An 11,801-nucleotide genomic window follows, 5' to 3' on the forward strand; every position below is an offset into this window, starting at 1 on the left:
GGCTCAAGCAATCCTCTCACCTTGGCCTCCCAAAGCGCTGGGATTGCAGGCATGAGCCACTGCACTCAGCCTCAATAAAACTTGATTTGCGAAAATAGGTTGGAGGCCAGATTTGGCTTATGGGTTGTGGTTCACTGACCCTTCCTTGGTTTAGGGTAACGTTAGCTGCTGCCAAAAATGCAGCTGAAAATGTACAGCTGGAAGTTTACCTCTCGCTTGTGAAAAGCCCCAGATGGGCATTTCTGGGCAGCAGGCAGCACTCCTCAAAGTTTTGATTGAGACCCCAGAGTCCTGCTGGCCCTTGGCTCCAGCATCTTCTCCAGGAAGGTTGCTGCGGCCACTATGTGTGGCAGTGTCAAGCCCGTGAAAGGGCAAGGGACAGGCTGGAAAGCCCGGCCCATCAGCCCTTGCCCAGAAGCGATGCCACTGCTCCCTGCAGAACCAAGGTGGACAGGTGGTCACCAGGCTCCTCTGGGACGCAGAGAGAGCTGGGAAAATCTCTTCTCAGCCACAACCCCATGCAGAAGGAGGAGGGCATGAGCTCTGGTGCACACTCAGCTCTCTCTGACGCAGACAATGGGTAGGTCATTTACTGGAAGCATCTACAAGGCACAGGAGAAATCCTGATGAAGTTGGGAAAGGGCTGTGGTTTGGAAAGCGGGAGGCACTGAAGTCTCAGGCAGCAGAGAGCAGAGATGGCATGCCCAACCTAGAGCCAGGAGGAGGGAGAGCTGCCGTGCTGAGGGGCAAGGAAATAGGCAGAAGCCCAGGCTCCATCTTTAAGACAAAGGAAAGCCACAGGGAGAAAAATTACAAGATCCATATCATAGAAAAATGCTTCCTGTGGCCATCTCGGGGAGAGCTTAGGGAGGAACAAGATTGGCGGCAGGGGAATGAGAGTTCTTCCAACAGTCTTCCCAAGCGCTAACGGGGGGTGGGGGGTGGAAACCAGAGAGAGCATTCTAAATGGTTTCAGGAAGCAAGTCCATAAAGCTAACAGGGGTTGCAGGCACATAGTTTTCTTGGTTGGGTGGTGGGGACTTTCACAGAGATCAGAAAGCTGAGAGGAGCAGATGTGGGGAGTGGGAATGTTTTTTGGACATGCTGAATTGTAGGTGTCTGAGGAGGATGAGTTTTTTGGACGTGCCAAATGGAAGGTGTCAATCGGACATCCAGGTGATGGGAGAAAGCTGAGAAACCACATGCCCACTGGCACAGTACTGCCCCAGCTGAGACCCCAGGAGCCATTCTGCAGACCAGGCCAGCAGGTCGTGCACCCACTGGCCAACCTTTGCTCTGTGGAGCTGTCTGGAGGAAAACCGGGCCGCAGCATGGTGCAGAGGGCATGTCACAATTTACATGGGAGAATATTGATTTCAAACAGGTGGAAAATACGAGCCAGCGAGGTAGACAGGAAAGAGACCTTGACACCCATTCATCAGGGGCTGCAGATCAAGGAGACCAGATGTTGCTGCACCAAAATATGCAAGGAATTTCATAATTTATCCTGCAGACAAGAAGAGCCTGTGAAGGCCGGGGCAGGCAGCCTGGAGTCTCAGGTCAGACAGGAACTCTCAGGCAGTTGTGGGGAGTCAAATGGGGCCGCCCGTTACCAATTGATGACAGGCAGTGTCAGACACACACCTCCACAACGCCTGCTCTGAGGGCAGAAAACTGCCATGGAAAAGCGGCAACATCTGGATGCGAATGTCCCAAAGATGAGCTTCTGGAGGGATCCTGGTGACCCAGACATTCTGAATAACCCCTCTCTGCTGTGCTTAGGACCTGAAACCCACAGTTCAAGACAGGCAAGTACAAGTGCTGCTGTCCCACCCCTGCCAGGGCCAGGTCTCCTGGGGGCCCCTTCCCATCTCCCGCCTTCCTCCCCACACCCAGGCGTAGGGCCTGCTCCCATCATGGGCCTGGGGAGGAGGCCAAGGTTCGAGGTGCAGAGAAGTAGGAATGTGCCCAGCTCCCATGCTGGGATACAGTAGAACTCATCTCAGCATAAGCTTTACAGTTACAACCGGGAACTAAACAAGTGATCATTTTAACTTGCTTAAGGAATGAAGGTCTGATCAGTGAAAATCTAGGTGGGATCCCAAAGCCCAAGTTTTCCCTATGAAGCTGGACTGGTCCCCACGATGGGAATGTAAGAGGGGCCTGGCTGTTCACACAAGAGCATGGCACGTTATTTCCTTCCAAATTCAATAACACCAGAGTTATGACATTTGCCATCAGAGTCACACAGTCTCCTGTCCTGTGGAGACTTTGTCCAGCTTGTTGGGCCTGGGTTTAAATTTTCCTGTGACACCCATAAGGAGAGACCAAGGGCTGTGCACTGGGAATCCCAGCTGGTCAAACTGCTCCTCAAAAGGGACTTCATTAAAAGTCATCTGCATAACACGGCCCCTCCCCATCCCCAGGCAGCCACGGCCACTACTCTGGAGAGGGTGTCGGCTGCCCAGGTGTTCCATGGAGATGGGGTCTGAGACACACTCCCTATAGGAGACAGCGACAGAGGTGGGGTCAGCACACAAGTCCCCGAAAGCAATAACACAAAGCCAGCAGGTCAGGGAGAGGGCAAGTGAGTGACCGTCTACATGGTCAGGGGGAGGGCGAGTGAGTGACCATCTGCAGGATCAGGGAGAGGGCGAGTGAGTGACCGTCTACATGGTCAGGGAGAGGGCGAGTTAGTGACCATCTACATGGTCAGGGAGAGGGCAAGTGAGTGACCGTCTACATGGTTAGGGGGAGGGCGAATGAGTGACCGTCTACAGGGTCAGGGAGAGGGAGAGTGAGTGACCGTCTACATGATCAGGGAGAGGGCGTGTGAGTGACCGTCGACAGGATCAGGGAGAGGGCGTGTGAGTGACCGTCCACACGGTCAGGGAGAGGGCGAGTGAGTGACCGTCCACACGGTCAGGGAGAGGGCGAGTGAGTGACCGTCTACACGGTCAGGGAGAGGGCGAGTGACCGTCTACTCGGTCAGGGAGAGGGCGAGTGAGTGACCGTCTACACGGTCAGGGAGAGGGCGAGTGAGTGACCGTCTACTCGGTCAGGGAGAGGGCGAGTGAGTGACCGTCTACACGGTCAGGGAGAAGGAGTGTGAGTGACTGTCCACAGGGTCAGGGAGAGGGCGAGTGAGTGACCGTCTACACGGTCAGGGAGAGGGCGAGTGAGTGACCGTCTACTCGGTCAGGGAGAGGGCGAGTGAGTGACCGTCTACACGGTCAGGGAGAGGGAGCGTGAGTGACCGTCTACACGGTCAGGGAGAGGGCGAGTGAGTGACCGTCTACAGGGTCAGGGAGAGGGCGAGTGAGTGACCGTCCACACGGTCAGGGAGAGGGCGAGTGAGTGACCGTCCACACGGTCAGGGAGAGGGCGAGTGAGTGACCGTCCACACGGTCAGGGAGAGGGCGAGTGAGTGACCGTCTACAGGGTCAGGGAGAGGGCGAGTGAGTGACCGTCTACAAGGCAGACATGGCCTTTCTGCTGCTAAATGGAACCCCCTAGAGGGAAGAGCCTCTGCCCACCCCGTGCCTGGCAGGCAGCAGGTGCCCACAAGCCTCCGTGGAGGGGATGCAGGCGGGTGGGTTGAAGACTGTGACCAGGACAGGGGGAAGCAAGAAGGGCCCCCAGTGGCAAGGCTTTGGTAGGAAGGAGCAGATTCCAAGGAGGGATACCCAGCCCTCTGGAGCAGTAGAGGTCCCCGGTGTGATCTGCCTTGGTGGATCTTTGAGAGGACAGCCCGAAGCCCAAGTTCTGGGTGGGCCCTGATCCTGCTCATCTCACGCTAACATGGGTGCCTCTCCTGGTCCCCACAGCCCCTGGGCACCCTCTCCCACAACCTGACTCCATACCACGTTCTGGCCCATTTTCTGACTCCCTCACAAGGCTGGGGCTTCCATGGACACAAGGGCTGTGTCCCCCAGCCCCACATAGGGCTGGTCACATGGGGGGTTCATGTTGAGTGAACAAGAGAAGGAATGGAGCGGCTGTGCAGAACTTTGGAAGACGTGTGGGTGGAATGGGACTCAATGAAAGAGGAAGAGGCGGAAGGAGGCGAGGCCCCCTCCTCCTCTGCCCCCCACGGACCCCTCATCCTGAGTGGCTGGGCCCCAGCAAGTGAGCGGCAGACCAGCAGCGTCCTGACTGCTGGGAGCGATGACTCAGCTGCCATCTGTTACTTAATGAGAAGATGGCAAGCCAATTGGCGTGCTCCCCCGCTCTCTTTAATATGGCACATCGAAAAATGTGACTTTAGTGATCTATCTTTTAATGATTCTGACTTGCTCACTCTTACTTCTTTTAATTCAGCAGCAAATAAGCCTGTGATTTGCCCAGGAATCCCAACAGGGGATTCTTTTGATTTTATGTTGGGGGTTTGGGTCTTTTTTTAGGGGACAGGAAGGCTTTGCCAGGGTTACACCTTCCTCACTCTGCCATCAGAAGGAGCCCGTTCCATCCCAGGGTTTGTTCTTTGAATCACAACGAAATGGGACCCAGGAAAGTCCCACAACCCAGCTCACTTCAGAGAGGACAATCTACAGGCGACAAGCTGGCCTTGCAGTGTGAAGCCGAGGCCACACCGTCAGGGAAGGTGGGGAGACCAGGGTCCCAGGCTGCACCTGAGCCTGCACGACCTGGGGAAGGCCTCTCCCCTTCTCCAGCCTCCAGTTCTCTGGCTGGAGAAGGGAACGGGCCTGGCTGATCCCAGGGTCCTGAGGTTTGATGCTGAGTGTAGGAGAGTTCTTCTGGGCAGGTTTTCTAGTGTTTGGATGGGCACCTGCCTCCTTTGGGAACTAGGCAATGTTTAAGAGTGGACCCTGCCTCCACCTCATGTGTCTTATATGGCCTTGGGCAAGTCCCTGGGTTCAAGTCTGTAAATTGGGAAGGGCGATGGTGCCCACCTACCTGGCAAAGCCCTGGGGAATGAACACATCCATCCGCACAGGTGCTTGGCCCACTGACAGGGAAAAGGAGGCACCCTGAGACATCGGCTGCAGGCTATGACCACCCGCTCTTCTCGGTGAGCAGAGCCCAGCAGAAGGACATCTGGCCAAGAAGTGGTGGCCGTGTGCACAACTCAGCCAGAGGAGGGGGCACAGCCCTGTCACCAGGAACATCCCCTCACCTCCCTAGGCACTGGCCTGACTTTGGCCTGGCCTCTCCTGTGACCCCAGGATTTGGAGAAAAGTCTCAGGGAAGGGCTGACTGACTACCTGGGCTAGATCCTCACCCCTGGACCAGTCAGCTGTGGTCAGAAGGCAGATTGTCCAAGAACAGTCTGTTCCCAGGGATCGTCTAGCCCCAGGGTTTTCTGGCCATAGCTTCAAGCTCAGGAGGCCACAGCCTGTAGCAAAAACAAGGGTTTGGGAGCACAACAAACCAGGGTTTGAGTCTGTTTCTCGGCTTGGGATGGAGACATCTTTGAGACTCAGTTTCCCCATCTGTTCAGCTGGCAAGCCCACTCACCGCTGGCATGAGGAATTAATGAAATAATGAGGGGCTAGGCCATGGCGAAAAATCAGGGGCTCACCGTGTCTCCAAAAGGGCTGACCGGCTTTTCCTTGCTCTTGACAAATGTGGCCCCTGAGCGTCCAGGTGCGGTGCCCCTCCACTCCCAGCACGGAGTCCCCCTCTACCTTCAAGCTGGCCACCAGCGCCTCCCTCCCCTGTCTGGACAGAGGGCCCGTGGGGGTGCTGAGATCTGGCCACGTGCTCTGCCTCAGTCCAAAAGCCACACTCACGTGACCATCGACAGTGGATTGATGAAATTAAGCACAGATGGCTACTTTGTTGTTGTTCTTTGAACTGACAGCTGCTGGTATAAAAATAAATTAAATTAAATTTCACAGAAGTCAGACTTTTTTTTGTATTTTTTTTTAAAAATGATCTAAGTTTTTCTGTGTTGTTGTCGTTAAATTGTTTTCTTTCTTTTTAACATACGGAGGCAGAGAAAACTCCAGGGCAGCAGAAACAAGAATTGCAAGGAGAAGCTCCAGTGCGACCCCAGGATTTGGAGACAACCCCATCCAACCCTCCCATAGCCCACAGCCCTCAGAGCTCCGGAAGGCCACGGAGCTGCCAGGTTCCAATCTTGACTTCTTTGTCTTTCAAGCTAAGGGCCAGGATGTCAAAACAGTCCTGGGTTTGCAGCCAGGTTTGGACACCCACTCACCCTGCGACCTTGGGCAAGTCATTTTCTTCCTCTGCACCTCATTTTCCTCGCCCGTAAAAAGGGGATAATAACAGCGCCTCCCTGAGGACAGTCATCGTGCCTGGCACCTAAGCACTCAGCTGCAGTTCTTGGCTTATTATTATTGGCTGCATGACCTTGAGTAAATAGAGAATCTTTACTCAGTGAAAGGATTCTGAGAGAAGTCTCCAGCCCGCCTGTCTCACAGCAGGCTCTGGAATCTCAGTGCCCCCATAGCTGGTCTCACCCACCCTCTCCACCCACCTCCCTTCCCTCTTCACACCCTGGGCCCCTGGCCGGCGCTAGGCACAGCCATTTGCACACAGAGAAGAAATAGGAGGCTTGGTGGTCTGGGAGCCCGGAGCAGACATCTATTCTCTGCCCAGCCCTCCCTCCCATGTGCCCAGAAACTCCCTTCCCCTTCCCCATGGTTAAGCCAGGTGCAGCCTGTTCTTGGACAACCTGCCTTCTGGCCACAGCTTACTGGTCCATAGGTGAGCATCTAACCTAGGTAGCCAATCACCCTGTCCCTGAGATGTTGCTAATGAGAACTGAGAAAGAGAGAGAGCCACCTTGCATGGAGTGGCAAGCTACAAACCTTCGGAGCTGCCCGTGGCATATTTCCTGCCATGTGGAAGAAGGTGGTCTGGAGAGAGAGTGAGGCTGGCCAAGAGAAGGACAGAGATGAGAGAGGAGGGACGGGCCCCGGTTTCACTCCTTCCTGCATCCTTCCTGAGTCCTCGCCCTTCCCGCAACTCAGGGGCTCTGCTCAGCCATGGGCCTCTCTTTCTGCCTCCGTGGCTCCAGTCAGGCTGTCGTCACTGTGACCAAATTGCTCTACTTGTCCCTCGCTAGCCAGTGGAGGGGGACAGCAGGGCAGGGCTGCAGATTAAGAATGGAGGACTCTCCAAAAAGGGAGAGGCCAGTTCTTTTTTTTTTTTTTTTTTTTTTTTTTTTTTTTTTTGAGACAGAGTTTCGCTCTTGTTGCCCAGGCTGGAGTGCAATGGCGCGATCTCGGCTCACCACAACCGCTGCCTCCCGTGTTCAAGTGATTCTCCTGCCTCAGCCTCCAAAGTAGCTGGGATTACAGGCATGCGCCACCAAGCCCAGCTAATTTTGTGTTTTTAGTAGAGACGGGGTTTCTCCATGTTGGTCAGGCTGATCTTGAACTCCCGACCTCAGGTGATCCCCCCACCTCCGCCTCCCAAAGTGCTGGAATTACAGGCGTGAGCCACCGCGCCCGGCCGGGAGAGGCCAGTCCTAACGGGGAGAGTCCACACTGCCTGGAGAAGGTGGTACCAGCACTGAGACAGAGGAGAGGAGGAGGGGGCGTCCATGCAGAAGGAGCAGCGTGAGCAGCGCAGGAAGGTGGGGAGCTCAGGAAGCCGTGCACATGCTCGGGGTGCTCGCGGGTGCGCGGGAACAGTGGGGAGGAGGCCTGGGAGGTGGACAGGCCAGACCAGGAGAGGCCCAACACCACAGAAGGAACAAATGTTTAGCTTCTGCCCAGGATGGCAAGAGCACCCGCACACACTGCTCCTCCCACCCGGCCCAGGCAGGCGCTTCCAACTGGCCCAAGTATTATTTCCCACTCAGGTGGGGCGCGGCTTCAGAGCCCCACTTCAGGATTACAGCTCCAGGTGCCACGCTGCAAGTAGCTACCGCCAACTGGTTAGAGTCGGCACAGGGGGCACAATCTATTTGCCAGCCCTGTCACCCGGGATAGGAAAGCTCACTACACACACTCACTCCCCCTCCCCAGCCCAGGGCACGACATGGTCTTGTGTGGGTGATAGCAGGGGCACTGCTGACTTCTGGGAGGCAGCCAGGGAGGTGTCAAGGAGGAGGCAACTGCACTAAACCAGAAAGCCATGGCCCAAGTGGAGAGGCAAAGATGGGGAGAGGGGAGACAGGAGGAGGCTTCAGGGCTTGGCTCCTGGCTGAGGAGGAGGAAGAACTGGGGCCTGGAGGCAGGATTTAGTTTGGGCCAATAACAGCTTTGCAGTTAACCTGTGACCCCTCGAGGTGCCGCATTTCCAAGCTAAACCCCAGGGCTGGGTCTCAAGGCCCCACATTTCCCAGGGAAGATTTCTAGAGCTCCTTCGAAGCCAAAGGACCCCAGGGTAGCCCAATGGATGGGTGGATTTATACACAGAGGGCTTAAGGTTAGGAAAGAAGGTGAATTTCCCAAAAAGAAGAGTTCACCTGCCCCCAGAAAACACCTTTCTAAGACTCTAAAGATATGACAGGGACACTCGCCTGAATTTGGACAAGCCCCTGCCCTCATTAAGCCTCCAACTGGTGTCTGTCTTTGTCTATTCTGGTGCTATAATAAAATACCTTAGACTAGGTGACTTATAAACAGAAATTTGTTTCTCACAGTTCTGGAGGCTGGCAAGTCCAAGGTCAGAGCCCTGGTGGATGCAGCATCTGCTGAAGGCAGCTTCCTGGTTCACAGACATCCATCTTGCTGAGCCCTCAAACAGCAAAAGGGTGAGGGGCTTGCTGGGGTCCCTTTTACAAGAGCAGTAACCCCCTCCATGAGGTAACCCCACCCTCATGACTCAGTCCCCTCCCAAAGGCCCCACCTCCTGATGCCATCTCCTTGGGGGTTAGGATTTCAACATCTGAATTTGGGGGGCACACACATGCAGTCTGGAGCAACCTCCATAAAACAAGGTGGACGGGCAAGGCTAGTGGCTTTCAAGGGTATTTGTTAAGCAGCTAAACCCTCAGTCAAATTCCACAACATCCCCTAAGTATATGCAAAGGGTCCCCCTAAAAGGTGCACGCCATCTCTGCCCCAGGGGGAGGAAATGAGAGTCACTTCTGTCTTCACTGGGAGCTCCCTGTCCTGAGGGCACAGGTGTGCCTGACCCCTCCTACTCCACCTAGGGCACCCCTAGGGTGGGCAAAGAGGGGTCATCAGGATTCCAGAGTTTCAAGGGTAGAAAAGTGGGGGAAAGCCACTTGAGAGAGGGGTCCTGAGAGAGGGAAGTGGCTCACAAAGAGCACAGCCCAGTGAGATTCAAGCACCAGGGCCCCGGGTCACTGGGATGATGCCAGCCACGGGATTGAAGTGCTGACACCCAAATCCTGTGGCCCAGGGGCCAGAGGAGGTTCACTCTCAGTCAAGTTTGACCAGGGGAAGTGGCACAGGCCTCCTCCCTTGATGCTCCTGGGCCCATCCCGGGCATGAGCACCAGTGACCCCAGCTCCTCCATCAGACAGACAGGACGGTAGGGAGGGCTGGGACCACCCCAGGAGGGAGCACACTGCTCAGAGACAGATCCTGTCCAGCTCGGCAGGGGAAGAGATGACAAGGACCCAGCACCTCTTTCAGAGTGCATGGGCTCCAGGCCTGGTCAGTTCTGGGGAGAAAGGATCCGGCCCAAGAAGGGGGCCCTGGACATCTGTTGATTGAGGTGCTTGTGATGTTTCATCAGGACAGCGACGGGACTCGAATGTTTGCATTAGAGTTTTCAGAGAGGTTCTTACGGGTTTGATACAAAACAGGACATGGTAAACCACTCTTGTTGAAGAAAGATGGAAGGCTATTCCTGCACCCACCCCTGCCCACGTGCCTCCAGCAAGGTGGGCCCCCATATCCAAAGTGCCCAGTGGGAACCCCGAGGCTAGAGGGCTTCTGAGAGTCCCCCCATGTCCTCCACTCCCACACTTCAAGCTCCATTTTCAGGGGAACCAGCAAGCACCCTGGACTAGAAACAAAACCACAGCTCCTGTCCCCACTCTGCCACCGTATGACTAGGCAGCCTTCAGCAGTTACTTCACCCAGTGTGATCTGATGGAACTTTCTGCAACACTGAAAACATTTTCTTTTTCTTTTTTTTTTATTTTAGAGACGGAGTCTCACTCTGTCACCAAGGCTGGAGTTCAGTGGCACGATCTCAGCTCACTGCAACCTCCGCCTCCTGGGTTCAAGCGATTCTCCTGCCTTAGCCTCCCAAGTAGCTGAGACTACAGGTGCCCATGACCAACCACGCCTGGCTAATTTTTGTATTTTTAGTAGAGATGGGGTTTCATCATGTTGGCTAGGCTTGTCTCGAACTCCTGACCTCAAGTGATCCACCCACCTTGGTCTCCCAAAGTGCTGGGATTACAGGCGTGAGCCACCAAGCCCAGCCTGAAAATATTTTCTATGCTGTGCTGTCCAGTACAGTAGCCATCAGCCCCATGTGCCTATGAAGCACTAATGTAGCTAATACAGGTAAGGAACTGAAAATTTTTTAATTTAATTTAATATTAATTAGTTTTAATTTAAATAGCAACATGTGACTCATAGCTATGATACTGGCAACACAGCCTCAAATTCTGAGCCGCTATTTTCTAATCTATAAAATGGGACTATGAATCTCTCCCTCTCAGGGGCTTCACGGAATGAAATAACAATCATAATAATGGGACATAAAGGAACTAAAGCTAAAAACTGGTGGAAAAATGCTAAGGACCCCATTCAGCAAACTTTTGTTCATTTCTTTCATCCTACCAAGTCCCTGGACACTGGATAGACTCAAGGTACAGCAGCAGGGAATTCAAGCCCCTCCCTCGTGGAGCTTGCGGTGTGGCCGGTGACACAGATTCTGAAGACACAATCACCCCAATAACTGTCAGGACTGTGGTAAGTGCAATGAAACAAAAATAAATGACAATGGTGTGGGTTTATGTTCATCGAAGAACAGCTGCTTCTGAGCAGGGCGGGTGGTCCCAGGAAGGCCTCTTGGACAGGGCCCCTTCTCGCCCCATGATATTAGGCCCATCCCAGAACACACAGCAGTAGAGCCACTGGGACCTACCTCTGGGGGCCTCTGCTGCTGCCTCAACCTTTAGTGACCTTGATAGAGAATGCGGCTCCTCCGGTTATGAGGACAACCTAGTATTCAGCAGGAATTGCGCCGGATGAAGCCTTTCCCATAGAGAGCTGACGTCAGTCCAGCTGTTTTTGGAAGCAAGTGATTGTCTTTTTCCATAAAGAGCATCAGGGAGAGGAGGAGGCGAGATAAAGCAGGGAAAAGCTGGGATCCCGGTGCCAGTCTCAGCTCTGCCGACGCTCTGTAGGACCCAAGTGCAGTATTTCCCCTCTCTTGACCTTGGCTTCCCAATCTTCAAGAAATCAGAGGTGAGACCGCGTGACCTTTTGGCCTATAACAACTGTGGCTTTCTCCAACTCCGGAAAAAATCTACATAAGAACTACAACAACGAGGATGATGGGGATGCGGATGATGATGATAAACAGAAGTAGCAACTACCATTTCAGGAATGTTTACTCATTGCCAGACACCAAGCTGACAGCTTTGCACGTAGGTTTTAGTCTTCACCAATGCGGGAAAGATGACTGCCTTCCCTCTATAGGTGATGAATTTGATCCGGTCCCCTGGTGGCAGAGCTAGCAGGACAACTGTAAACCACTCTTCTATCCAAACTCACAAGTCTGGGGTTGTCCGTCTGATTCTACCTGTAACATGGTATCAGAAGTCCCTGTCTTCCCGCCTCGTGCGTGTTTGGAGGCCCCTGAGAGTGCACTAAAGGCTCCTAAGAGAATGTCGTGCCTGGAATCCCAAAAATAGGACCTGCAGCTAT

At 54.2% G+C, this 11,801-nt stretch overlaps 2 annotated features.

Moving 5' to 3' along the window:
- Positions 2,923-3,597: an enhancer, noted in NCBI's record as "H3K4me1 hESC enhancer chr14:99814550-99815224 (GRCh37/hg19 assembly coordinates)". NCBI's record gives its function as "activates a minimal SCP1, AML or CMV promoter by ChIP-STARR-seq in primed H9 embryonic stem cells {active_cell/tissue: H9 hESC(primed)}" and the evidence as "EXISTENCE:reporter gene assay evidence [ECO:0000049][PMID:30033119]".
- Positions 3,598-4,271: an enhancer, noted in NCBI's record as "H3K4me1 hESC enhancer chr14:99815225-99815898 (GRCh37/hg19 assembly coordinates)". NCBI's record gives its function as "activates a minimal SCP1, AML or CMV promoter by ChIP-STARR-seq in primed H9 embryonic stem cells {active_cell/tissue: H9 hESC(primed)}" and the evidence as "EXISTENCE:reporter gene assay evidence [ECO:0000049][PMID:30033119]".

The sequence above is a fragment of the Homo sapiens genome, chromosome 14 (genome assembly GCF_000001405.40).
Source record: "Homo sapiens chromosome 14, GRCh38.p14 Primary Assembly".
Lineage (NCBI taxonomy): Eukaryota > Metazoa > Chordata > Mammalia > Primates > Hominidae > Homo > Homo sapiens.